The sequence below is a fragment of the Homo sapiens genome, chromosome 11 (genome assembly GCF_000001405.40).
Source record: "Homo sapiens chromosome 11, GRCh38.p14 Primary Assembly".
NCBI lineage: Eukaryota > Metazoa > Chordata > Mammalia > Primates > Hominidae > Homo > Homo sapiens.
Window position 1 is genome coordinate 35,327,726 of NC_000011.10, and position 26,043 is coordinate 35,353,768.

The 26,043-nt window shown below is 42.5% G+C and overlaps 1 protein-coding gene across 15 annotated transcripts in view, besides 3 other annotated features; it reads right to left on the reverse strand.

The window, feature by feature from the left end:
• SLC1A2 (solute carrier family 1 member 2) overlaps window positions 1-26,043 on the reverse strand; it is a 169,303-nt gene that overhangs the window by 76,521 nt on the left and 66,739 nt on the right. The gene's annotated exons all lie outside the window — the stretch shown is intronic.
• Window positions 2,661-3,220: an enhancer, noted in NCBI's record as "OCT4-NANOG hESC enhancer chr11:35351933-35352492 (GRCh37/hg19 assembly coordinates)". NCBI's record gives its function as "activates a minimal SCP1, AML or CMV promoter by ChIP-STARR-seq in naive H9 embryonic stem cells {active_cell/tissue: H9 hESC(naive)}" and the evidence as "EXISTENCE:reporter gene assay evidence [ECO:0000049][PMID:30033119]".
• Window positions 16,962-17,489: an enhancer, noted in NCBI's record as "H3K27ac hESC enhancer chr11:35366234-35366761 (GRCh37/hg19 assembly coordinates)". NCBI's record gives its function as "activates a minimal SCP1, AML or CMV promoter by ChIP-STARR-seq in naive H9 embryonic stem cells {active_cell/tissue: H9 hESC(naive)}" and the evidence as "EXISTENCE:reporter gene assay evidence [ECO:0000049][PMID:30033119]".
• Window positions 20,076-20,577: an enhancer, noted in NCBI's record as "NANOG hESC enhancer chr11:35369348-35369849 (GRCh37/hg19 assembly coordinates)". NCBI's record gives its function as "activates a minimal SCP1, AML or CMV promoter by ChIP-STARR-seq in naive H9 embryonic stem cells {active_cell/tissue: H9 hESC(naive)}" and the evidence as "EXISTENCE:reporter gene assay evidence [ECO:0000049][PMID:30033119]".

Sequence of the window (26,043 nt, forward strand, 5' to 3'; positions counted from 1 at the left end):
TTAATGACATCCCGGAGAGGGAAGGATTATTCTATCTTAGAAATGAAAAGACAGAAGCTCCAGAAGATTCTGAAACTTGCCCAAGCTCATGAAGCTTGGAAGTAGCAGAGTTAAACCTGTGCTGTGGTTCTGCAGCAAAGTTAAACCTGTGCTGTCCTTTGCCTTTGAGTCCAGTGTTTTATGGGTATACTCTTTCTTGGGGTATTTACAGAGCAATGGACATGTTAGAACTACCATCTACACCAAGGCACTAGGTAGCTACTTATGAGACTTGCATTCTAGCACATGGAGAGGGAAGATAGAGAGAGGAAGTGCTGCTAAATGAGAGAAAAGGCAAAGTGAGCTCTGGGGAGCTATGGCCTTGTTGTCTGTCTTGGACAATATATGCTGCTGGTGCCATGGCCCCAGATGTACCATCATAAGAAAATGGCATCCACTCAACTGACTCCTCCCTTCAGGCAACGAGGGCACACAGGAACCATCCTATTCCCACTGACTCAGCCAGCACTTGCTGCTGTGAAATAACCTCAAGGGTTCACTCCAACTCTGGTTCTTCACCGGGAAGGACTCCCCCATCAGAGGGACCCTAATGTCTGGTAACTGGTAATAATAAGAATAATGATGGTGACAATAATGATGACAGCAGCTAACATTTACTCAAAACTAACTTCACACCAGGTATTTTTCTAAGTCTTCTTATATATGAACTTATTGATTTCTCACAATAACCTCAGGAGATAGGTACTACTATCAGCAACTTTTACTGAAGGAAAAATGAAGTCATTGAATGGTTAAGTTACTTGCTCAATGTCACAAAAGTAATGGATGGTAGAGCTAGGATTTGATCCCTGTCAGTCCTGGACTTGGAAAAACTGGTCAGCCCACTCTCCCTCCAGCCCGAGAAAACTTGCTCTTTATATTAGGCAATTTCATGCTAGCAATAGACATCGACACTGAACATTTGGCCAAAAGAGTGATTTTGCTGTTGGGGGATGGGAAGGATCCCAGAGAGAAGAAAGTTAACACCTAGTCCAAACCAGAGCCTGATCCAAGAGCTACATACAACAGTCATGGAACCCTAGAATTTCTGGACTAGAGAGTCTTCCTGTCCCCTCTCAGCCTCTGGACAAATGATTATCTGGTCTAGTGGCCCCAACTCTGTCTCTGGATCACTTGTTAAAAATACAGATCTCCAAAACTTATGTCCACACAAAACACTGCACAGGGATATTTATAGCAGCTTTATTTATAATTCCCAAAACTTGGAAGCAACCTAGACATCCTTCAGTGGGCAAATGGATAAACCATGGTACATGCAGACAATGCAATATTATTCAGCACTGAAAAGAAATGAACTATCTATCCAAAAAAAGACATGGAGGAAAAATAAATGCATATTACTAAGTGGGAGAAGCCAATTTGAAAAGGCTACATACTGTATGATTCCAACTATATGACATTCTGGAAAAGGCAAAACTATGGAGGGGCATGGTGCTGAATAGGTGAAGCACGGAGGATTTTTTAAGGCAATGAAAATACTTTGTATGTTACTATAATGGTAAATACACATCATCATACATTTGTCCAAACCCATGAATGTACAACACCAAGAGCCAACCCTAATGTAAACTAAGCACTCTGCATGATAATGAGGTATCAATGTAAGTTCATCGCTTGTGATAAATGTACCACTCTGGTGGGTGATGTTGACAGTTGGGGAGGCTGCACCTGAATGTGAGCAGGGGTATATGGGAACTCTCTGTACTTTCCACTCAATTTTCCTGTAAAACTAAAACTACTCTTTAAAAAACAGCATATTAAATAAAAACAAACAAAACAAAGCACAAAACAGATCTCCAAGCCCCATCCCTGAATATTCCAATTCATCACATCTGGATGGGGCCTAGACCTCTGGGCTTTTGCAAAAGCACCCAGATGACACTGTTGCAGCTAATCCACATACCAATGTCTGGTCAATGCCTGAACAGTTGCAGTGCAGGGCAGCTTATCACTTCTACTCTAACCATCCCGCCGTTGGATAGCTTTGACTATTAAGAAGCCCTTCCTTTATGGTGAGCCTATATCTGTTTCCCTGCAGCTTTTACCCACAGGTTATTTTTCTATCCTGTGGAGCTACCTAATAATAACAGTTGCCATCAGACAATGTACTGGATGCTTTACATGCATTATTTCATTGACTTCCCACAACACTCTCACAAGATAGCTACTATTATTAGTCCTTCTTTATAGATGAAAAACTGGAGGTCAGAGAGAGGAGCACATTTGCTCCAAGTCAGGCAGTTGGTGAGTAGATGAGCTGGGATGGCAACCCAGCTTGGCCTGAACAAGGTGCACACACTTAATCACGACACTTACAGAAAATGAAGCTGAATCCCTTCTCCATCTACCAACCTTTGAGGCATATGAAGTTTCTGCTCAGGGTTTTCTCTTCTCCCAAGTTTGTCACTATCCTGGTTAAAGCACCTCAAGCTACTTACTTGCCTGTGCCTCCCAGACCTGCACACAACCTTCCAGGTAAGGGCTGGTCACTTCCCCACTCCCCTAAGCCCATCAAAGACTGCCTTTCTCACTTTCAACCTCCAGCACGTCAGATTCTACCAGAGCTGAGGCTTCTGCCCTGCCTTTGAAAAACTGAAGGGCATAGGTAATTTCACAGTAGAGAAAGAAGGTGGTAGGGAGTACTGGTAATGAATAGAACCATTTATTGACTTTTTATTCTGTACCAGTGATAGGTAGAGTAATGCCCCAACAAATGTCCATGTCCTAATCCCCAGAACCTGTGGATGTGTCAGATTACATGGCAAAGGGGCTCTAAGGCTGCAGTTGCAAAGAAGGTTGCTAATCAGCTGACCTCAAGATAGGGAGATGCGCCTGAATTCTCCAGGTGGGACCAGTGGAATCACAGGGGTTCTTATGCATGAAAAAGGGAAACAGAAAAGAAAGAACTGAAGGATGGCAGCATGACAAAGACACAGCCCAATGTTGCTGGCTCTAAAGATAAAGGAAAGGGCCAGGAGCCAAGGCATGTGAGAAGCTTCTAGAAACTGGCAAAGGCAAGGAAACAGACTCCTCCTCCGAGCCTCCAGAAAAGAATGCAGCCCTGCTGACACCTTGATTTTAGCCCAGTGAGACCCAACTCAGATTTCTGGCCTCCAGAACTATATGATAATAAGTTGTCTTGTCTTAAGCCTCTTGATTTGTGATCATTTGTTACTGCAACAATGGGAAACTAAGGTAGTACCAGACCTTATGCTACACTATCTCATTTGTTGTTTACAAAAAGCCTCAGCAGAAGGTGATAGACATAGAGAGTTTCCTGTCCACACCCACACCTCTGCTGCTTCTAGAAATCTGCTCAGAGAAGCAGCATGCTCAGCCAGACACTGCTTCTCAGCCTCCCTTCCTGAGATGTAGGCTGAAGTGTTCTGCTCCTCCCTTCCTCACTTCCTCCTGCCCTAGAGAAATGCAGACCAAAGTAACATCTTTCTCTCTTTAGCTAATCACGTGTTTAAAAGGCTCAGCAACACCATGCCTCTAAATGGCTTCCATCGCCCATGGAAGCCTTTCAAGGCCTCCCAGAGGACTTGTGCAGTTCTTTACTTTGGTTCCTTCTAATGAGCTGCTAAATTTGTGGCTATTGAAAGTGAACTAAACATCCAGTCCCTGTTGATCCCAGCAGTCCAGTCAGTTTACTGACTGCCCAACTGCTTCTCAACTAGTTTGATCTGCTAAATTTACAAGTGATAAACTGAGCCATCCAGTCACCCCTGAAGGGTAATGTTCTCACCAGGAGAATTTCTTCTTAAGAGAAGAATGTATATTTATCACTCTGGTAGCTTGTGGAGACAGGCTGGTTCACAGGGCTTTGTGCTGATATGGCACAGTCCACAAGTGCAATACATCCTCTTGCACGATCCATTCTCTTCCCACCTTTTCCATACACAGATGCAGTTCGTGGTGTTTGGGGAATATTTTACTTCGCACATTCGAACCTGAAATCTTAAGTGACTCTTTGATGTTGTCTCTTCGAATAATCTTTTCCTGAGCCCCCAATCTACTTTTCATGCCTCTGAGATCTTAACGTTGCACAATTCATCACATTCATATGGTTTGCCTCTCCCACTAGGCCTTAGACTCTGTGAAGGAAGGGCCATACATCTATCCCTGGGCCCTGTCCATGTTAGGTGTTTAATAAGAATTTTTGAGAGACTAGTGATTTGGAGGTACTAAGGGGACCCAAGTCTGCAGGGACTGGGAGGTGCCTCTGACAGCGAGTGGCAGGACCTTATCAGCTTAAGCATCTCCCATGGAGATGGCTTTGGACAGAAGCCTAAACAAAGCACAAGGAAAGGATCAGGAAACCTGAAGTCCACCAGAAGCTCCAACTAATGTTTAGTGACCTTGCCAAAAGCAACTAGGGCTTCTAATTACCACAAGTGATCATGACTTGAATTTTTATGCACTTCCTGAAGTCATTCCAGCAGCACCACGTCTCCTCAACAGCCTGGAAGTGGTGATGATGTGGTATGTTGGCTACCGGGTCATCAACACCACTTAATTCCTTAGCAACTGAGGTGAAAAGCCTTCATCCCAAGTGCCTTGGAAGAAAGGCTTGTTCCTGCTCAACTCGTAAAGTCTCAAATTTATGCTGAGGATAGTTTCTCGCCGAGTGACTTATCAGGTTGACTCTTAAATTATGACATCAAAGCAAGGAACATGTCCTGTTTTTATTTGAATCCTCTATATAATGACATGTACAATGCCAGGCACCTAATAGGTGTTCAGCAAAAGCTGGTAGATTGAATTATGTATATGACAAAATTAAGACAGAGGGGTCAAATAAGACTTACAGATAAGTCCAGATGAGATCTCTGGACTCAAATATATTCTAGGGCTTTGAGTTAACACAGAAATGGCAGGGTTTTTTTGCCATGGACAATCATGCTTTCTTCCTCCATCCTCCCTCTCCCCATCTGCCCTGAACACACACTCAGCCCATTGTCCTTTATCTGAGAGCAGATTCGACTCCACAGTTCCTTAGGGCAGAAATTGTTTTTGTATTTTATGGGGAGAAAGGGAAGAAGTCTGCAGCACACGCTACCTAGAGAACATGCAATACAATTTCATTATAAGCAAATTTGTTCTTCCTCCCCATACTCTTCAGAGTCTCTCTCCTCTTTCTCTTTTACTTCAGTTCTCGCTCTTAACTTCCTTAGCCCACTGAGCTAAACCTGGTGGATCTTCAAACAACTGCCAACTGTTCCTCAGGTTGGCTCCCTGGAGTGGTCTCATTCCCCATCCGCACACAGCTGATCAAGTATTCACTCTCCGAACAGGTCTCTTTCGCAGCTACTCAAAAAACATAACCTTTGGCAGGGTGCAGTGAGGGGGCACAGTGGCTCACACCTGTAATCCCAGCAATTTGGGAGGCCAAGGTGGGTGGATCATCTGAGGTCAGGAGTTTGAGACCAGCCTTGCCAAAATGGTGAAACCCCATCTCTACTAAAAAAAAATACTAAAATTAGCCAGGTGTGGTGGTGCATGCCTGTAATCCCAGCTACTGGGGAGGCTGACGCAGGAGAATCACTTGAACCTGGGAGGCGGAGGCAGCAGTGAGCTAAGATGGCACCACTGCTGTCCAGCCTGGGTGACAGAATGAGACTCTGCCTCAGGAAAAAAAAAAAAAGCAAAAACCATAAACAGAAACAAAAAGAAAACATAACTTTTACCTATATTGTTATACCAAAATTAACAGATGTCACAGAATTTATTCACCTTAAGATAAGGATTCCTTTTCTTTATTGCTAAGCTAAATAAGCAGTAACTTTAACAATGTTAATGACGAAGAGTTGGAAATTTATTCTAAAACCCTTTAATTTATAGTAAGATATTGTTAATCATGTAAGTTTTTCTTTCTCTTTTTTTTTCCCCTTGAGACAGTGTCTTGCTCTGTTGCCCAAGCTGGAGTGCAGAGGCACGATCTCAGCTCACTATAACCTCTGCCTCCCAGGTTCAAGCAATTCTCATGCCTCAGCCTCCCGAGTAGCTGGGATGACAGGCATGCACCACCATGCCAGCTAATTTTTTTTTTTTTTTTTTTTTTTGTATTTTTAGTAGAGACGGGGTTTTGCCATGTTGGCCAGGCTGATCTTGAACTCCTGGCCTCAAGTAATCTACCTGCCTTGGCCTCCAAAAGTGCTGGGATTACAGGTGCAAGCCACTGCTCATTTAAGTTTTTCTTAAGTAAACTTCAATGCACTTTGTTTCAGTATTATTATTGAAAGTTACTAAAGGGTTTTGTCCACTTATAATTATGAAACCTAGATCCCTGAGTGGCAACAATCAGATAGAACTAAGAAGTGATTGTCCCTTAGATAGGCATGGATTTTCCAGTCTGCCACAGTCCCCACCATCCCTTATTGTCTCCTTGACACCAATGCGAAGTGTCAATTACTATTTATCATCAGGCTTCCATTGCTGTCTTTCTGAAGAGAGTGTTAAGAGGAAAGCAAACTGTTTCCTGATTTCATGTGCATACCTGCCTGGCTCTCATTAAGTTAGCAGCCCCTGTCCCTTTTGGTTCCATCATTGTACAGATGGGAGCTTTCTTCATATGCTTAAGTAAAATCTTCAAAAAAGGAATGAAAATTTATTCACCAGGCTACAAGCAGGTAGGGAGTGATTTAACAGAGCGAATCACGTTGTTGTTACTAAAGATGTCACATAATTTACAACTTTGAGCAAAGGTTCCCAGGGGACAGGTGTGAAAACAAAAGCAAGTGATGCGTCATCTCACCTTCCTGAGAGCAGGCAGAGGCAGTGCTTTAAGAATCATTGATGACTGACTAGCAGGTTACAGCGGGTGGAGGAGGGCTTCACTATCTTCTCTGCATGGCCCCTTATTATCAGTAGCCCCAAGATTAGAACTCTCTAGAGCAATGACTAGAGAGCAATGCTCAAATGCTGAGACATGACTTCAGCCTTTTCTTTACCAGTCTACTTTGGGGGGCAGGATGTGAAGATTTGGTGAGTTGGACTCACAGCTTGTAGAGTCTGGCTGGAGAGCAATTTTGTTTTGTTTTGTTTTGTTTTGTTTTGTTTTGTTTTGTTTTGTTTTGTTTTGTTTTGCAACATCCCTTAAGACAGACATTTTGTACAATATGAGAAGTGACTGTTAGTCATTTTACAGATGAGAAAGCAAAGTTAAGTAACTTTTCCATTGTCGGGTAGCTAGGAGTAGACAGCTGGGAATCACACCTTGGTCTGTCTTCATCCAAACCCAACCCCTTTTCATTACAATATGGCAGCTGAAAGAACCTGATACTTTAAGATGAGAATAACATTCTTCAATATTTCTTTATTTACAGCATCATAGACATAGCCTTCAATTGTCCAAAGTAGTTAAGAGTGTATGCATTGATGGGGGGGAAGTGTGTGTATTGTTGTGTATTGTTGTATTTTGCCACTCTCAAGCAAACTTCTCCTCCAGTCTCATCAACATACCCAACCTCAACCTCATAGCTGCTAATTCTTCACAAATACCCATAAAACCTATCTATTGAAAGCTATATTTCCCCCAAGATATTGGCCATATAGGCAGCTTCAGGCCAAGTTCTTTCAAACTTCAGCCATAGCAACCGCAATTGCACAACCAAGGGCAGCTGTGATGAAGTCACGGGGAACAAATTAGCAGAGGTCCCAGTACTCCTCTGGCCTGTAATCACTCATCACCTCAGACTGTGTTGATGATCCAGACCCTGGGCATGCCATTTAGCTGAACTCTATAGCTGAAGGAAATGCTCAGGAAAGGATTTTTAATTTGAGATTTTCCTTTGAATAATGTGAGGCTTCATTTTTTGGAGAAAGGAAGACAGTCTATCATGAGTTACTACCAGGGTCTTCACAACAATGCCAAGCAAAATCTGATCCAGTCTCACCCAAGTCAGTGGCTCATATCTACAATCCCAGCACTTTGGGCGGCCAAGGCAGGTGGATCACTTGAGGCCAGGAGTTCAAGACCAACCTGAGCAACATGGTGAAACCCTGTCTCTACCAAAAACAAAAATTAGGTAGTCTCATAAGCCAGTCTCAAAAAAATTAAGTAAATAAAATTTTTAAAAAATTAAATTAAAAAATGTTGTTAAAAATCTGATCCAGTCTCTTCAGACATCCTCCCACAGAAGATGCTGAAAAAAGGTTTCTTATATGGTACAAATACACAATGGAATACTATGCAGCCATAAAAAGGAATAAGATCATCTCCTTCAGAGGGACATGAATTGAGCTGGAAGCCATTATCCTCATCAAACTAATACAGGAACAGAAAACCAAACACCACATGTTTTCACTTATAAGTAGGAGCTGAACAATGAGAACACATGGACACAGGGAGGGGAACAACACACACTGGGCCTCTCAGGGGGTGGGGTGGGTGGGGGTAGAGCATTAGGAAAAATAGCTAATGCATGCTGGGCTTAATACTTAGGTGATGGGTTGATAAGTGCAACAAACCGCTATGGCACAGGTTTACCTATGTAACAAACCTGCACATCCTGCACATGTACCCCACAACTAAAATTAAAATTAAAATTAAAAAGAGAAGGAAAAAAGGTTTCTTGATGATCTCTATCTAGAACCCTTTGAAGGTGACCCAATCAGCTCATTAATTGTTTGCTCTTGAATACTTGCTTTCACCCAATGGGCTTTGATATTAATAACAGTATTGATTATACTCTCAACATTTATGGAACATACTAGCTCTGAGATAAGTGGTTTCCTTTGTTTGATCCTCACAACAACAATTCTATAAGCAAGTAGGAGGAAGGAACAAACAGATAGAGTGCTATTATTATCCTCATTTTATAGACAAGGAACTAAGGCCACCAATGTGCCTAAAATGACCTAGTAAGCATCAGAATCACATAGCTAAACCTACATTGGCCCAAATCCAAGACTTTAGTTTGTAGGACTATGCTCAAGTAACTAGGCAGCCAATTCAAATACTCCATCCTCCAATTTTATATTTATAAATTACAAGCACTCACAGCCGGGGTCAGCAACTCATGGCTTTCCATATGGCCCATGAAGCCTAAAATATTTACTCTTTAGCCCTTTACAGAAAAATGTTTTCTGACCCTTGGCCTAGAACAGTAAACCAAATCCCAAATTTTCCATTCAGTGTACTGAGGTCTCTGTAGTACTTGGGACCAGCAGATTCCACAACATTTTTTAACTCAAGAAAAATATTTATTTGCATTGATTTATGTAAATGACCCTGAGTGATGAAAGTTGGAAATAAATTTGGGGAAAAAAAGAGCTAAAGAGTTGTGGTTGTAAAATATCCACCTCCTAAACTACTGCAGAGCTGCTGGTTAACCAAAATCCAGGGAGGGTTTTGCCAGAATCATGAAGAATTTTATGAATGGGTCTACACTGAGTACAGAGAAAAGTGCCCACAGGCCTCTCTGTATCCATGTTGATGGGGGATTAAAGAAGACTCCTCCTACCAACATCCAGCCAAACAGAAGACTAGCTGTTTAAATGGCTGCCAGCATGCTAAGCGAATAGAAATAGTGACAAAGAGGGTAGTCAGAAAGGCAGTGAGTAACTATTCATTGTTTTCAAACGTGGCGAGAGGTGTTTGGTAATCTTTGTGTAAAACAGACATCTGAGTCATCTCAGCAGCAGGGAGTTCTCATGAGTCATATAACACATGCTAGTCACAAATCAGGTCTTTCCACCAGTTCAGGAATATTACCAACAGTATCACCACACTACTCAGTATGGATCCAAAACTCAAGGAATATCTATCTAACTACACCTGCATGTTCAAATGTACTAGATGTACCATGGTATAACAGGTGTACCATGGGTGTACCAGTAGGTGTAAACAGACTCTACCTATAGGGTAGAGTCCTTTAAGGTTGCAGAAGAAACAGCTGCAAACTCCAAAACTGCCCCAGCTTGCTGTGTGAACTTGTGCATGTGCTGCCTCTTATCTGAGCCTAAGACTCATCTATAAAATGAGATGTTTGAGTTGGATGCCTCTCCCCTGCCTTCCAGCTCTATGAGTATGTGGAGGGGAAGCTCCACCAACAGTTTAGAAACAGTCCTGGAATACACTGCTGACTTATGACTCATAATTCATCATATCTCATTATCTAATTAGTATTATAATTACCATCAACATTATCATTGTTATTATCCTTAGTATAGCATAAATAATAACAATATAATAATAACTAGCATTTCTTAAGTGCTTTGCATGTGCCAGATCTTATTTGTTCAGGTCTCTAGAATATGTGGGACAAGAAGATTGTAGTATCTGCATAGATCAGGAGTTGGCAAACTACAGCCATGGGCCAAATCCAGTCAACAGCCCATTTTTATAAACAAGGTTTTATTAGAACACAGCGAAGCCTATTGTTTACCTATTGTCTACGGTTACTTTTGCACTCCAAGAGCAGAGTTGAGTAATTGCAACAGAAACCCTAAAATATTTATCTGACCCTTTACAGAAAACACTTGTTGACCCCCTTCTTTTAGACCCTACATAACAAATCTGTTGTTTTTTGCCTCCCTAGTGTCTGCTTGCTACTCTTTTGGTTCTATCCTCTCGACTTCTCAGGGCAATTCCCCTTCTAACTCCCGTCCCTATGGTTTGGATGGAACTGACCCATGCCCATCTCAGGACTGGTGAATCAGGATACTCTATCCTCATAACCACATAGATTTGTGGGTGATCATGTGGACCAAGTTGGTCCAGTGAGATATAGTCCTAAGACTTTGGCTAGAAAAAGTGGGAAGGAGGAGCTCTTCTTTGCTGAGGTTTCTTAGCTGCTAGGATGTGTCCAGAGCTGCCGGGAGCTTATAAGGGAATGACCTGCCTTTGTTTGAGGACAAGGAGATATGGAAAGAGAATCAGTCCTAATAATAAGATTTTAGCTCCTAGATCCAGATACACCTAAAGTTATCTCTAGACTCTTTGGTTAACAAGCTGATATATTCTCTAGTTCACTTAAGTCAGACTAAGGTAGGCTTCCCTCACTTGCAACTAAAACAAAACAGTCCTTTGAAATAGACACAATTACTTTACCCACTAAGATACACCTGATCAAGATCACATAACCAGTAAGTGGCAGAGGCTAGGACCCAGGTCTCCACTGAGCTTTTCAAGATGAAGGGGTCAGCATCTAGAGCTCTCTAGAAGATCTGGCTAGAAGCAGGGACACAACCAACGGGTGATTTTCCTGTCTTTGAATTGCTCTCTAAAGGGCAATTCTTTGGGGGATCATCTTGTTTTCTACTTATGACTGTCCCATGGCAAGACCCAGTAGAGTACTGGCTTCTCATGCAGTAATTTGGGGCAAGTTATGACAAAGAGTGATGTCATAGCCATTTGTCAGCTCTTCATTCTTGCCATTTAACTGGGAAAAATTTTTGCTGGGGAGAAACTTGACCTCCCTCTGTTGGGATATTTAGTCATTCAGCAAGAAACATGGAATCAGGGAATCTCAATGCGGTGAACAAGATTGTGGGTCAGGGCCCTTCTGTGTCAAGGAGTCAGTCAGGACAGATTTTGCTGAAGAAGAGATTTCATAAAATCAAACCTAACTGGAACTATCCGTTCCACAGGGCATCTTCTTATACTCTGCTTTGAAGGGGACAGACTCCAGAAGGAAACATGCAGTGCAGGGTATGGAAACAGAATCTCTCAGGGAGATGTTTGGTTAGTGTGTGGCTCAATGTTACACCTTTACCAGCTGGAGGACCTTATCATGAGGACTGGGTTTCAGATAGGGATCCTGGTGACTCACAGGACCCTCTGTCAGGGGTCCACTGGTCTCAACACACCACATCAAATGAGAGAATGGATTCAAGCATTTTTTAATGATTTTCAACCATGAGAGTTGAGCATAAGTTGGATGGGCAGATGGATGGATGGAGGGATGGATATTGGACACACAGAAGATTGATAAGCACAAATATATACATGTATAATTGTATATATAGAGATTACAAGTAATATTTCTGGAAAGATCACAGAATATTGCTGAGAGTAGCAGCTTCTAGGGAGAACTGAGAAAATGGGTATCTCAAATGAGAGGGTGACTCACAGATCACTGTATTCTCCTTAGCTCTGTTTAAATGTTTTCCTATGTGCATTTATTGCTTTTTCAATGTTAGGATTAAAAATAAGAGGGAATTATCAAAAATATATTTAACGACAAAGCCCTCTTGGCTTCATCCCTCAATGACCCTAAAATTTAAATGACCAAAACCCCATTTCCTCAGGCTTTCTTGTTAAGCTTTTTTCCTTGAGGCTTTGTAATACCAGCCATGCAGACACACTGACATGAGCTCTCTGCTCACGTGTCACTTCTCTGAGCAGAGAGAAGAAGCAACGGGACCCAGCTCATGTCAGGAAAAGATGTTACATGAGACCTGTTCCTTTGGTGTCTGCCCCAACTCAGTGCCAAGCCAGAGGTAAAGGGCAAAGGGTGATAGGAAGGAGTCCAAAATACAGGCCACAAAGGCCTCTAGTCCATCTGGGCACTGCTGGAGCCAGGGCAGGGCAACGCTGGCACAGAGATAAAAGGGCTGTCCACAGTCTGGCCTCTAAGGGACTTGAAGTCCATGGAATGATCTGAGCTCCCTATCTGCTTTAGTATAGTCAGTGGACAATGTCTATCACTTCAAAAGAATAGGACATGAAACAGAGCTGTCCTGCACAATTCTGAATCACACACATATTCTGTAGGAAGAACCTGTGTCTGGCTTTAAAGCCTACTTCTACCCCTTTCTAGCTGTATGATCCTCAGCCACTCACTTTAGTCCCTGAGAGCTTCAGTTTCCTTGTCCATACAAAGGAAAAAGATTGTAGCGTAAATTAGATGGGATCACTTCCATTAAGTGCCAACTACAAAGAAGCAATCAGTATTGGCCTGGTTCCCCCCTCCCCTTTGGCATCTCAGAAGTAAAGGGAATGCTTTTTTAAAGAATTTATTGATTGAAAGAGACAACAGAAAACTAAATGAACTTTCTTAGAAAACTGTGCAGACACTGAAGTGAGACCCAGCTTCTCTGGACTCTTATGTAACAAGTTACATAAGGGTCATCTTATTCCCCCAGTGTGCCCCCTGGGATTATGGTGTGGAGGCTAAGGTCAAAAGGAAATTATGTAAGCATAATCCTGAGAAATTGACAAACAAAGCAGTGACCAGTTCAAGGAGCAAACCAGCAGTATGTTACTGTGAATCTCCCAGACGCCAGGAACTTACATAAAACACAGATTGAGTACATTTGGTTGACAGCGGGGAAGGGACTTGTCAAAATATTTTTTAAATGGTATATCAATATGCCAAACTATCTGAATAGAGGCTGGAACTGCATTAGAGCAGCCTCTGGAAGGTTCAGGTTCGCCCCGAAGTGCTACATATTAACCTCTTAATTGTTGCCTCCTAGGGAGGTCCCAGGCCGGAGAGGTAGAGGGGAGAAGTGGGGGTAACGAGACTTAAGATCGAGGAAAGTGAACTTGGGTTGGCGCACCTTACCAACAAGTATTTAAGTATTTACTACCTACCAATACTAATAAATGAAGGCATATTTTAACTACCAGCTGCATAGCAACCCTGGAGAAGAAGCATTTCTGAAATAGTCGTATTCACGAAAATGTTTAAAACCCTGTTAAAAACCTAATAAGGTGTGTGATGTTCCGCTTCCTAAAGTATAATTTAAAAATATTTTTTTAAAAAAACCTAATAAGGTATAGAACATCACAAGCAGCATGCAAAAAACACTCTCAACTACCTTAGCAATCAGGGCAGAGTAAGTGAAAACACCAATTTTTGCCATCAAATTGACAAAACATCTTTAAAAAGTTGACAACATCTGTGATTGCCAAGGACAGGTAAATTTAACATGGGAGTCCAAACCGGTATTGGGTGTTGGGGGTAAGTTTGGTAGTTTCTATCAAAATTTAAGATATGTAATACCTTTTCACATCCCAAAATGTTTTTCTTAACATCTGTCTTGAGAAATGTGGATGTATGTTCACAAAGATGTCGATTCTTTGCAGAATTGTTTATAAAAGTAAAAAACTGAGTAATAACCTAAATGTCATCAATAGAGGAGTGCTTAATAAATTCTGATATATTTTGATGCAATGAAAGTGTATGGACCTGTTAAAAAGAAGGATGCATTGCTATATGAACTGATATGGAAAAATATCTAAGATGTATTTAAGAAGTTGAAAATTGCATATGCATGTGTATATTTATAATGTTTGGAAAGAAATTCTGGAAAGAAAAGTTAAAAAATGATAGGCAAGGATTACCTCTGGGAATGGATGAGGGTTTTGCAGACAGGTGTGTAAATGGAGATTCTTATATATTTTTGTAGGGTTTTTGCTAGGCTTTTACGTTTAAAATAATGCATATAAATGTATCATGCTGTACAATTAAAACTACTTTTAAGAAATGGTGAATCAGCCATCTAAGATGTTTGGAAGAAGACAGCATTTGTTTTAACAAGAAAAATATTAACTTTTAAAAGATGAGTCTAAGAAGCTGTCATTTATAAAGGAAGTTATCCAGGATGTACTAAGCTCTGTGTGAAGATTTACCTCCAAGCTCACCCGATGCAGATACCGACAAAAAGTAACTTTCTGCCCAAAATGAGTCTGAGGTTTATGCTTGAAAATCAAAGCAGTTTGTCTAGAAGAGACCAGAGTTTATTTCTCTCAGATGTAATGTACCTCTCAAATGAGTGTTTTTTTTGTTGTTGTTGTTGTTGTTTGTTGTTTGTTTTTTTTGCCTTGGTTCAAAAGGAGCCACAGCATAATAATTTCTAGTGGGGTAACTTTTGCTGCCTCATGTAAGATTAGAGAACAATGGCTAGGTGTGGTGGCTCATGCCTGTAATCCCAGCACTTTGGGAAGCCGAGGTGGAAGGATCGCTTGAGCCCTGGAGGTTGAGGCTGCAGTGACCAGTGATCACTCCCCTGCACTCCAGCCTGGGCGCGACAGAGTGAGACCTTGTCTCAAAAAAATAAAATTAAAAAAATAAAATGAAATTTTATAAGATTAGAGAAGAATGCAGCATCTCTTTTCTGAACTTTAACCCTACACATTCAGTAGCAGACGCAATTATATCCCATTCACACTCAAGTTCATGTGTCAGAAAATACTAGCCCCAAGTTGGTCTTGACCACCTATATTCAACTACTAGGACATCTTTTCCAGAATGGAACACTAATGGTTCTAGAGTGGAACTGGAGTTTGCAAGAGGGACTTCTATCACTATCCTGCTCTGATACATCGTGAGGCTTCAGACAAGTCACAAAAACCACACTGGTGTGTCAGTAGTGAGACAGGAATAATACAGGGTGGTTGCAGGAGAATAGAAGCAGTTTCACAAAACTAGCAAAAAGGAAACTGTTGAATTAGCAGCATAGGCTAGGGGCTGATAAAAGACCCTGAAAAACAGGATGTGGGACAAGCTGGCTAGGACCGACTGGACCCAACATAGCACTGGATTTGACCTAGGTTTCACCTAGGACCTCATTATACACTCATTAACATACCAAATCACACACCCACCAGCACCATGACAGTTCCGAAACAACCATATTTGGTGTAAAAATGGGTGGCACCACAGTTCTGAGAAATCTTCACCTTTTTCCAGGAACCTTCATGAATATTCCACTCCTTGGTTAAAGAAACTCGTAAAGTTAGAAGCCGCAAACCCCACTGGGCATGACTTTCTTGAGTACACACACACTCCCCTTTCTTGAGTGTATACTTTTCACTTGCAATAACTCTCCATACTTTCACTATTTTCCTGACTAGTCCTTGAATTCCTTCTGGCTCTGGTGTCAAGAGCCTGGACACCAACCAGGATGGAGGTCCCCTGGGAATTTGGGGACCTACCCTAGCACATCAGTAGCAGTAGTATTAGCATCCCCATTTTCAAATGGAGATAACCTATTATCTGTGCACCAGAATAATAATAATAATAATAGTATCTGTGCACCAGGATGTGCACAGACACACACACAGAGGCACACACACACATTTTTACACAGACACACACAGGCACACACACACACACACAGATCTGGTGTATTCGAAAAACAGAAATTAATAATGATGTACAAGCATTGTGAAATCCCTTGAAAACTTCTGCCTAAACATCTATTACAATGTCAGGTGATCATTTCATAGCAGATGAAATGTCTGGAACCCAAGACACATGGCTGAGAAGTGGCCCCACTGAGAACTCAGATCCTTTTTTACCCATCATTAAAACTTTTTTTTTTTACAGGTGAGACCTAAGTATAATCAAAGTTATTAATTTGTTCATGCATTTACCCATTCAACAGACATTTGCTGAGCATCTTCTCTGGGCTTGGCATTGTTCTATATGCTACAGATACAGCAGTGAATACCATAGAGGCTTACATACTGAAAGAGGGAGGTAATAACAAACAATGTCATATGGAATAAGCACTGTAAAGAACAATGAAGCAATGTACTGTTGAGCGGGATATTTAATATAAGGTGGTCAGGAGGTGACATTTAACCAGTGACTTGAAGAAAGTTACAGTGACCATGTGGATCTTGGGGAAAAGTATTCTGAGAAGGAACAGCAAGTGCAAAGGCCTGAGGCAGAAGCAAGCTTGGTATATGCTACAAATAGTAGCAAGCTCTCACTACACAGTGCACAGGTCAAATTCTGTGAGTGCATGCTTGATGGGATTATGGAACTCTCCCCCTGAAAATGCACATACAGACAAACTTTCCTTACAATTTCAGACCCCGGAAGACCTTTACCCACAGCCCCTAGTTAAGATCCTTTGTTCTACTCCAACCAGTTGTTGCTTCTGACATGGCTCTGTGATTCCAAAAGGCTGAGTCCTGGCTGCCATCCCTCACATGGTGAAAGACAAAAAGAAGGCCAACCTCCCTCTTCAGACAATGTGCTTGTTCTGAATTTCAAAAAGAATGGGAGACCCTTCCTGCTTTCTCAGCTTCAAGGACTAGGAAACTATCTTCGAGCAATAAAAAGCACAATCTTCGGCCTGCTCACTCACCCTCTCTGTAACAGGAAGGGCTTCTGGAGCCCTGAGCACCTGGATTGGATCAAATTCCATCCACTCTGATTTGGAAGTGAGCTAGAGGAGCTTTTAATCTCCAGAAGGTAGTAAGAGAATTGGACCAACCAATTAGGCTTAGCAGCTCTGATTCAAACAGTGAGCACGTAACTGAGAAATATTTTTGGTTTGTCTCTAAGTGGAGTTTTGAATGCCCCAAGAGTAAAAAAAAATAGTCCTTTTAAAAATAATAAACAAGCCGATTTAAGCAGCATGCTGAACCCAAGCAATCCAGTCCATGATGCTTGGCCTGTTTCATGCCAGTATCACATATGCCGCCAAAGGACTCGCAGTGCTAAGACCATCACACCTCATAACTCTTGCTAAATACCAGGGTTCCAATTACAGCTCCACTGTAAAACACTTCATAAAACGTGCAGACCTTGCTCCTGCTTTTGCAAACCCAGCCTTGTCTTCCCTCCTTTCTCTCCTGGGTTCTGCAAATGGCCTTCCAGCTTTCAGAACCTTCTGCTGAGTTCTGAGGAAACTGAGGTCACTTGCCTGTGATTGCACTGTCTGAAGATCACATCCTCTTTGCAGAGGAAGTGCTGGGTGATTTCACTCCCTGTTCCATGTGCAAGGCTCACTGGGCGCCAATAATTGCACCATTCAGAAAGGTCAGCACCGCCACTGTGAGCATCTGACTGTTGGGACTGGAGGGGGACCAGTGATGGGGACAGGCAGAAGACGGGGAGCTGAAGGTTACCTCCCCACACCAATCACACCATGAAATACCCACACAGCACCTGGGGCAGAGGTTACCAGAGTTAACTATAACCCCTTCACCAACCAGACTCTTTCCCTGTCTCTTAAAAAAAGGTAAAGAAATAGTTTTACAATATATTTTCCAGATGAGCTAAATAATATACATTTTGTCTACAGAAAAATACAATGATGAATATGAAAATCACCAGTAAATCCCACTGCCAGGAAAATCTAAGTAATAGCCAATGCTTGTACCAATAATTATTTTAAATGTTTTATATTCATTTTAACTCATTTTCTTAGTTAAACCTCACAACCTCTCTATAAAGTTGACATTGTTTTAAGACCCATTTTGCAGGTGAGAACACCAAGTCACAGAGAAATTAAGTAACTTGCTCAAGGTCTCACAATCATTAAGCATAAGAGCTGCAACAATTAAAACGCAGACCCATGTTCTTTTTTTTTTTCTTTATACTTTAAGTTCTGGCATCCATGTGCAGAACGTGTAGGTCTGTTACATAGGTATGCATGTGCCATGGTGGTTTGCTGCACCCATCAACCCATCATCTACATTAGGTATTTCTCCTAATGCTATCCCTCCCCTAGACCCATGTTCTTAATGCATCTTAGCCATGGCTGCTTTCCATTTGAGGCATCCATTTCCATCCCACCTCCTGCTGTTCTGGGGTCAAGCATAGAGCAGGGACTTCTTCCTCCCTTAGTCTCCATGGGCTACTCCTTCCCCTGCCAGCTCTGCAACCCTTTATGAGCCTCCCCAAGAATCACACACTCAAAAGAGCCACCAGCAAACCAGACAGGGAAAGAAGCTGCCTTTCACTCAACTCGGGATGTGCTGAGCATCTGGCATACCCAGGGGATTGAGGGGATACAGTGACTGGGACTCAGCTCTGGACCACAAGGCATTCGATCTAATGGCAGAGACATGACCTATAAACAAGAGTAACTAATGACAGAAATGTAAACAGACTGTAGGCTCTTTGAGGGCAGGTTCACGTCATATACGCCAGGGACTTAGAGGAGGCAGTCAATAACTGTTTGTTGAGTGACTCAAAGCGTAAGCTAGTAAGATCCTCTGCTCATGGCACTTATTATCCTCTGAAATCATAAAGAAGTCAGAAAGGGCTTTCTCAGTGAAATGACAGTGAAGCGGAGACTCATAGGATGGATATGACAGACCAAACAGAGAAGAGGGGCAGGGCAGGGGCATGTGCCAAGGCATGGGAGCAGGACTCCCCATGGGTACCCCACATCTTGGACACAGGATGGAAGAAGACCTCGTGCTCACAGCAGTAGTTCTGTAGGCAAGGAGCTGGGACTGGAAAGGGGACTGGAAAGATAAATAGGGTCAGATGGTGGAAGTGCTTCAGTGCCAAAGGGAGGAGTTTAGACTTTGGAAAAAGACATCTCTGAAGATACAGATTTGACAGTTAACTACTTTAAAAAGCTAGAAAAAGCTGAGGGAAGAAATTAGCTCTCCAACTGAGAAAACAGACAAGAAAAAAGAGTTTGGGAGGGATAAGAGTTTAACCCTGCAAAACAGCCACTTCTGAGGGGTATGAGGAGGAAGAGGAGTCCACAAAAGTCAGACAGAAAGGAGCCATGAGAGCGAGAAGAAGTGCGAAGGAGCAATGGTCAGGGCTTCTGCAATAGCGGTGTTACTTTTGGACACTCCCATGAATGGAGTCTCCTAGTCTGCTCTGGACAGACATGGTAATTCAATATACTTGCTGTTTTGAACCCCTGCTCCCCACTTCCAGTGGCATTTGGACCACTTTAAAGACCAGAAAAAGGATCACAAGCAGATTTCATCTCATGGGCAAAGTCCAAATCACTGATAGTGGCTGCTGGAGCAATGTTTTCAGAAGGATTCCAAGGCTGAATCTTCACTTAAATCCAGATTCAAAGTGAATGAGTTCTATGATTAATTAGCAGTATCTGCCGTGGACACAAAATTAAGAAGTGGACATATGCATGCCCGTATTTGCCTTCCTTGCTTTCAATAGTTTGCATTCATTTCATTTCTTAGAGATGAGCTTATTTAGAGCAGCAGTTGTATTTACCTCGGTGCCAGGCCCTGAGCCAGGCAGGCACTGGGAAAACAGAGATCATTGTGCTCAGCAATTTTTTAAAATACAGATGAAGTCTTGCCATGTTGCCCAGGCTGGTCTCAAACTCCTGGCCTCAAGCAATCCTCCTGCCTTGGCCTCCAAAAGAGCTGAGTTTACAGGTGTGAGCCACCACACTCAGCCACAAATGTTTGTTAAATGAATACATTTGTTCCTAAGAAAAATGAGGACAAAGAAGCTGGTTGTTGTGAGCTTCAGGAATTCAGAAGTGGCAGAAGGGACCTCTTCCTCTGAAGCTAGCTTCCCATTTTGGCCTTGCCTGAGGCCAAGCTCCATGTGACAAGTCTGGGCGGCACCTGGGTTGAATTCAGGCCTTTCTTATTCATGGAAAGTGCCCAGCCCACAGACACTATCCCCTCATTGCTCTGCAGGAGGAATTGTTACTAATGCAGCTAAAGGATTCTAGAATTCATAAGCAGAGCCTCCCCAGGAACAGGCCTGTCAACTGGTGCAATGGCCAAAGCAGTCCTGGGCCATCTGTTTTTAATAAGAGACATGTGGAATGCAAGAGCCAGAGGCATGCTTGGCTTGGCCTCCCCTGGAGTTGGTGAAAAAACTGTCTAAAATTGAAGCAGGCCAATGGACACACATTTCTAAGGGTCTCACCTCAATTATTTATTGATGAGCAAACCTAATAATTCCTCTTTGTTTCTCAACCCTCAATAGGGTGCTCGCATGTAGCAGATACTCAATAAATGAAGAAGAAATATTAAATTTAAAGAACTCCTGACATAGATGGGAGGAAAGCAAACAGGTGAGAAGTCATGTCCAAGAGGTAAACAATGCCCTAAGCAGAGGGGAGGAAGCACATGACCAGCTGATGTAGGCACACATCAGCACTACTAGAATTAAGAAGACAGAGGCCAGGCATGGTGGCTCATCCTGTAATCCCAGCACTTTGGGAGGCTGAGGCGGATAGATCACCTGATGTCAGGAGTTACAGACCAGCCTGACCAACATGGTGAAACCCTGTCTCTACTAAAAATGCAAAAACTAGCCAGGCGTGGTGGCTCACCCCTGTAAATCCCAGCTACTCGGGAGGCTGAGGTGGGAGAATTGCTTGAACCCAGGAGGTGGAGGCTGCAGTGAGCCGAGCTCACACCACTGCACTCCAGCCTGGGCGACAGACCGAGACCTGGTCTCAAAAAAAAAAAAAAAAAAAAAGACAGAGAAATTGAGGGAATCATTGGGAACAGGTTCCCAAAGGAGAAGGATGTGTGCTGAGTTTGGAAGGCTATAGGTAGACTTTCTTTTGGTTGGAAGAGGAAAGGGGAGAGGATACATCAGGCAGAGGAAATACAGAGCAAAAGCTCAGAGCAGGATGGGAGTGGCAAGGTTCCAAAACAGGTGGACATAGAGGGAGGTGAATCTGGCAGCAGCAATGAACAAGACTGGAGGCAGGGATGTAGATGGGGGCACTGCGGGAGCCCGGGCAGGGGCGCGGGAAGCCTGCATTGAGGTGTGGACGATACAGATGAGATCAGGGTAAAAACCAGCGCCAAATCGAAAGGGAGAATCACAAAAGAATCAAAAATACAAAGGGAATCAAAGACCAACAGATCACAGAGAATAATAAATAAAAGATAATGACAGAGGAAGTGGTAATTTTCTATGAATCCTCGGAGGCATAGATTCTTTCTGTGCCCTAGAGACCAACAAACCTTGTCCAGCCAATGCCCAGGGCCTGCAAGCCAGGAATTCTGATGTGTACATCTTATGAACCCTGTGGTACTGTCTTCCTCATCTCAGACCCACTTCCTCTGCCTTTTACTCCCTTCCGTTAGTGAGAAAATAAAGAGAGAGAAGAGCTCTTCCCCTCCAGATTTTCAGTCCTTTCGCTGCAGCTAGCCACCCAGGTATCTGAGAAAGCTCTACTCTCTCCCATATCAAAGATAAGTATCTAATGAACTCAGGTATATAAGAAATCAGGTGCTTACTTCTCACAGGACATCTGCATTTCAAAGGAATCCTAACCCAGATTCTTAGATTCCCAGTATGTCTCCAGGGTTTCCTATTAGCTGCATGCCTGGGAGGGGATTGAGCGGGGAACACACAGTCTTTGGGCTCAGGGGGCTTACAGTTTAGTAATTGAAAAGGCCATTCTTGTCTGTTTTGTACTTATGTTTTCCAGCAAGGAGTAGGAGTCCTATATGGTTAGAGACCTATGTTCGGGGTAGTTACAAACACGGGCTCCGAGACAGAGAGACCTAGGTACCAATCCCAGCTCCACCACTTAACAGCTAAGAAACTTTGGGTGAGTTTCTTCATGTCTCTGAGCCTCAGTTTTTCTCCTCCATGAAATGAAAGCACTGTATGAGATCACCCATACAAAGGGCGCAGTACTGTGGCACATGGTATATATTCAATACCTATCTGCTAAGATGTGCCAGGAAATGCCAGAGGCCCACTACTGGTTTTTAGAAAGTACAGACTAAAACTTAAACAACAAGAAGACATCTCCCAGACCCTAGAGGCTGAGTGAGCTTCTGCCTTTAATTTTCTTTTTCCAATTACCTTTTTACAGATGAAGAAACCTAAGCACTTTCTCATTCTGTCTTGTTTTATCTTGTAGGATATGGGGGATAGAAGATGGTGTCAAAATTTATTGAGCATTTATATTAAGTCCAGCATGGAGCTAGGCATTGTCACAGAGTTTGCCTCTTTTAATCCTTGCAACAACCCCAAAAGGTACAAATGTTTACCCCAGATTAGGGTGAGAAGGTAAAGAAGGGCTAAGGTTGTGAATCTTGCCCAAGGTCATATAACTAATAACATGCACAGCTGGGATTCAAACCCAGGTCTCTCCAGTCAACATATGCTGCTTCCTAGGTCCTGACTTGAGCCAGACCTTAACCCCAGGTATCTGGGGATCCTTCCGTAAAGACACAGCAAGATAAGATTTTATCTCAGCTTTTAAATTTGGGACTCTAAAAAGCTTGGCTGATGCAACAAACCCTTTGATGATTTATTTAAATACTTATAGCTGCAGCTGCCCATCAAGCCTGATTAGGAAGATGCCTGGGCTGAGATTGGAGCTGCTTGTTGGTCTGAACCCAAATCTCCTACCAGGCACTGAAGTGTCCTCAATTCATGGTCTGGAAAATGAAATGGAAGGAGCCTTAAGATTTCATTCTTCTGACTCCCCTAAACTTTAAATACACCTTCTCTCTGAGAGAACATATTAATACTAAAAGCCACCAATATTTTTACTTCCTTTTAAAGATTATCTTAAAGAGTGAACCCATCTACCCACTATCCTCATCCAATAGAATCAGCTGACCCAGTCCTTGTTGGAGAGATTAATAAAAATAATATACTAATGATGGCTAACATTCATTGAGTACTTACTCTGAGTCAGGTACTATCCTCCAATAACCCAGTGAAATACATAATACCATTAGTCCCACTTTATAAGTGAGAAAATTGAGGTTTAGAGGATTAGGTAGGCTAACCATGATCAGGCAACTGATTAGTGCCAGAGACAGAATCCAAGCCAGGAATGCTTTACTTACGAGCCCATGCTCTTCTCTCTGCATAATGCTCTCCCCAGTGAACTTCCCACTCCTTCTCTGCCTCCCAAAATGACCAGAACATCTCTGCTTTCCCAGACAGCATGTCAGTTTCTCCTGGGACCATGGATCCTGTCTGAAGAACACTCCAGACCAGAGCACTTTCCTACTGACATGGACGTGTGTTCTCCCAGATACTTCACCCCACTCAGCTCAGGCCCTAAGGAGGTTTATAAGCTAAAAACAGTCTGGTTTTCAAGTAATATTGAATGACCCCATCAGATACAGTATGATTGGGAGTATATTGTGTGTACATTTAAAAGGTAAGACAGAAAACTGCAGATATACTCTGATTATTATTTTATTTTTTATTTTTATTTATTTATTTATTTTTTGAGACAGAGTCTTGCTCTGTTGCCCAGGCCAGAGTGCAGTGGCACAATCTCGGCTCACTACAACCCTCTCCTCCCAGGCTCAAGCGATTCTCCTGCCTCAATCTCCTGAGTAGCTGGGACTACAGGTGCATGCCACTACGCCCTGTTAATTTTTGTATTTTTAGTAGAGACGGGGTTTCACCATATTGGCCAGGCTGGTCTCAAACTCCTGACATCATGATCCACCCACCTCATTCTCCCAAATTGGTGGGATTACAGGCGTGAGTCACCGCATCTGGCCCTGATCATAATTTTATAAAAATTGTACATTGCATCGAGAAAAAAGTGGACACAAAAGGTTCCTAGTGGCTATCTGTGAATGATAAGATGATGGATGGGTTTTTACTTCCTTATTGCTTCTTTCCTTTATGTTTCCAACTTTCTACAGCAAAAATGAAGCATTTTTATGATCAGAAACAAAGTTGCTAACTAAGCTGACTGACCAAAAAGGAAAAAAGTCCATATGACTCAGAGTAAAAACAAAGAACTACTTAATCTATAAGAAACTTTGTTGGCACATGTTCTGTCTTTTTGCTACTTACATACCATGCCCTGGTTATGAATCTCAAACTTCATCTAGTTCCACTTAGTTTTCCAGCCTGCTTCTGATGTTGAGTGAAGAATGTCAGTGTTGGGAGTGAATTACCTTAACACATCCACGGTCCCTTATCAGTCCAAGCCACAGCTTTCTGCAGAGGGAAGGTTTAATTACCAAAAGCTCTGTGACGCAGTTAGCACTATTTTTGGCTGGCAGGCAGGGCAGGTTAGTTCTTTATCCATCCCTGCCTTGGCTGAGCCCCAGAGGTCACAGACAGAGAGCATTTTCACCATCCCAAGGCCAAGCCCATCTTTCTAGAAGCCATTCCAATGCTGCCTCTTGAGAAAGCAGTAAGGCCCCAGTTCCCTTCTGCAAAGGAGTGGCACAATTTCTCCTCCTGATATTCTCACCCCTGTCTAGAATTGCAAGCTGTCTCAGGGCATGCTCACTGCACTGAGAGAGCTGCCCTTGTTTTGTAATACACCTTACTGGATACATTTCAGAGGGTTAGGTTGAGATGGTTGGCAGTGAGTTCATGCATGGCTAAACTGCACCATGCGAGAAATCAATGGGAACTCAAGGGATTGGGAATTAAGGAGCTGGGGAGAAAAGAGGGGAGGTTTGAGCAGGAAGCAAGAGATCCTATCAATGTGGTGGGGAAGCATGTGCCTGGGCAGCAGAGATGGCCAATGAAAACTGTCCCAGCAGTGACAACCAGAGACCTCAATATAAAAGCAATGACAATAATAGCAATAATCATTTCAAGACCGACTTTGAATTTTGATATCTTATGTCCTTGCTTCTAAGATAGGCTTTTTTTTTAAGATTTAACATTTCTGAAATTGGGATGCATATTATAGTCAATATCAACATTTATCTACTATAGTATGTCTCTTTTTACTTGAAAAACTATTATTACATTGTGAGTGCAATTTACAACTAAGGGTGACTTAGAATGGAGTGAATGTGGCTGTTTAGAAACCTTCTGATAGAGACAGATGGGGTTGGGATGACATTCTCCTTTTCTTGTCTCTTTGCTCTTAAGGTTTCCACTCCCCTAACCGTTCATACAAATGCACAGAAGCAATGCCTCAGCTTCTCTTCTTCACCTAGCAGACTCCTGCTCATCCTTCCAATCTTGAATCAAATGTTGCTTCCTCCAGGAAGCTTCCCTGACCTAACTGAAAAAGTCTAACTCCCTGTTGATCTGTGTGATTGATGGATGTGCATCATCCCCCACTAGACTGTACCCTTCTTGAGAACAGAATTGGAACTTGTTTCCTCACTGCTAAATCACCTATTAAGAGCACAATAGGGTTTCCAATAAATTTTAGCTACATTAAAATATGTGAGTCTCTAATAGAGAGCTCGAAGACAAATGATTAATTCCCACCTCAGATGATCAAAATTTCTTTCAATGATCCTTGGCAAATATCCCTAATAGCAAGGGTGGACATGAGCTAGACCTTCAGAAAAGAAGAAAGTCTTGTCACCTTTCTACCATCAACAGACCATGTTGATATTTAATTAATTGCATG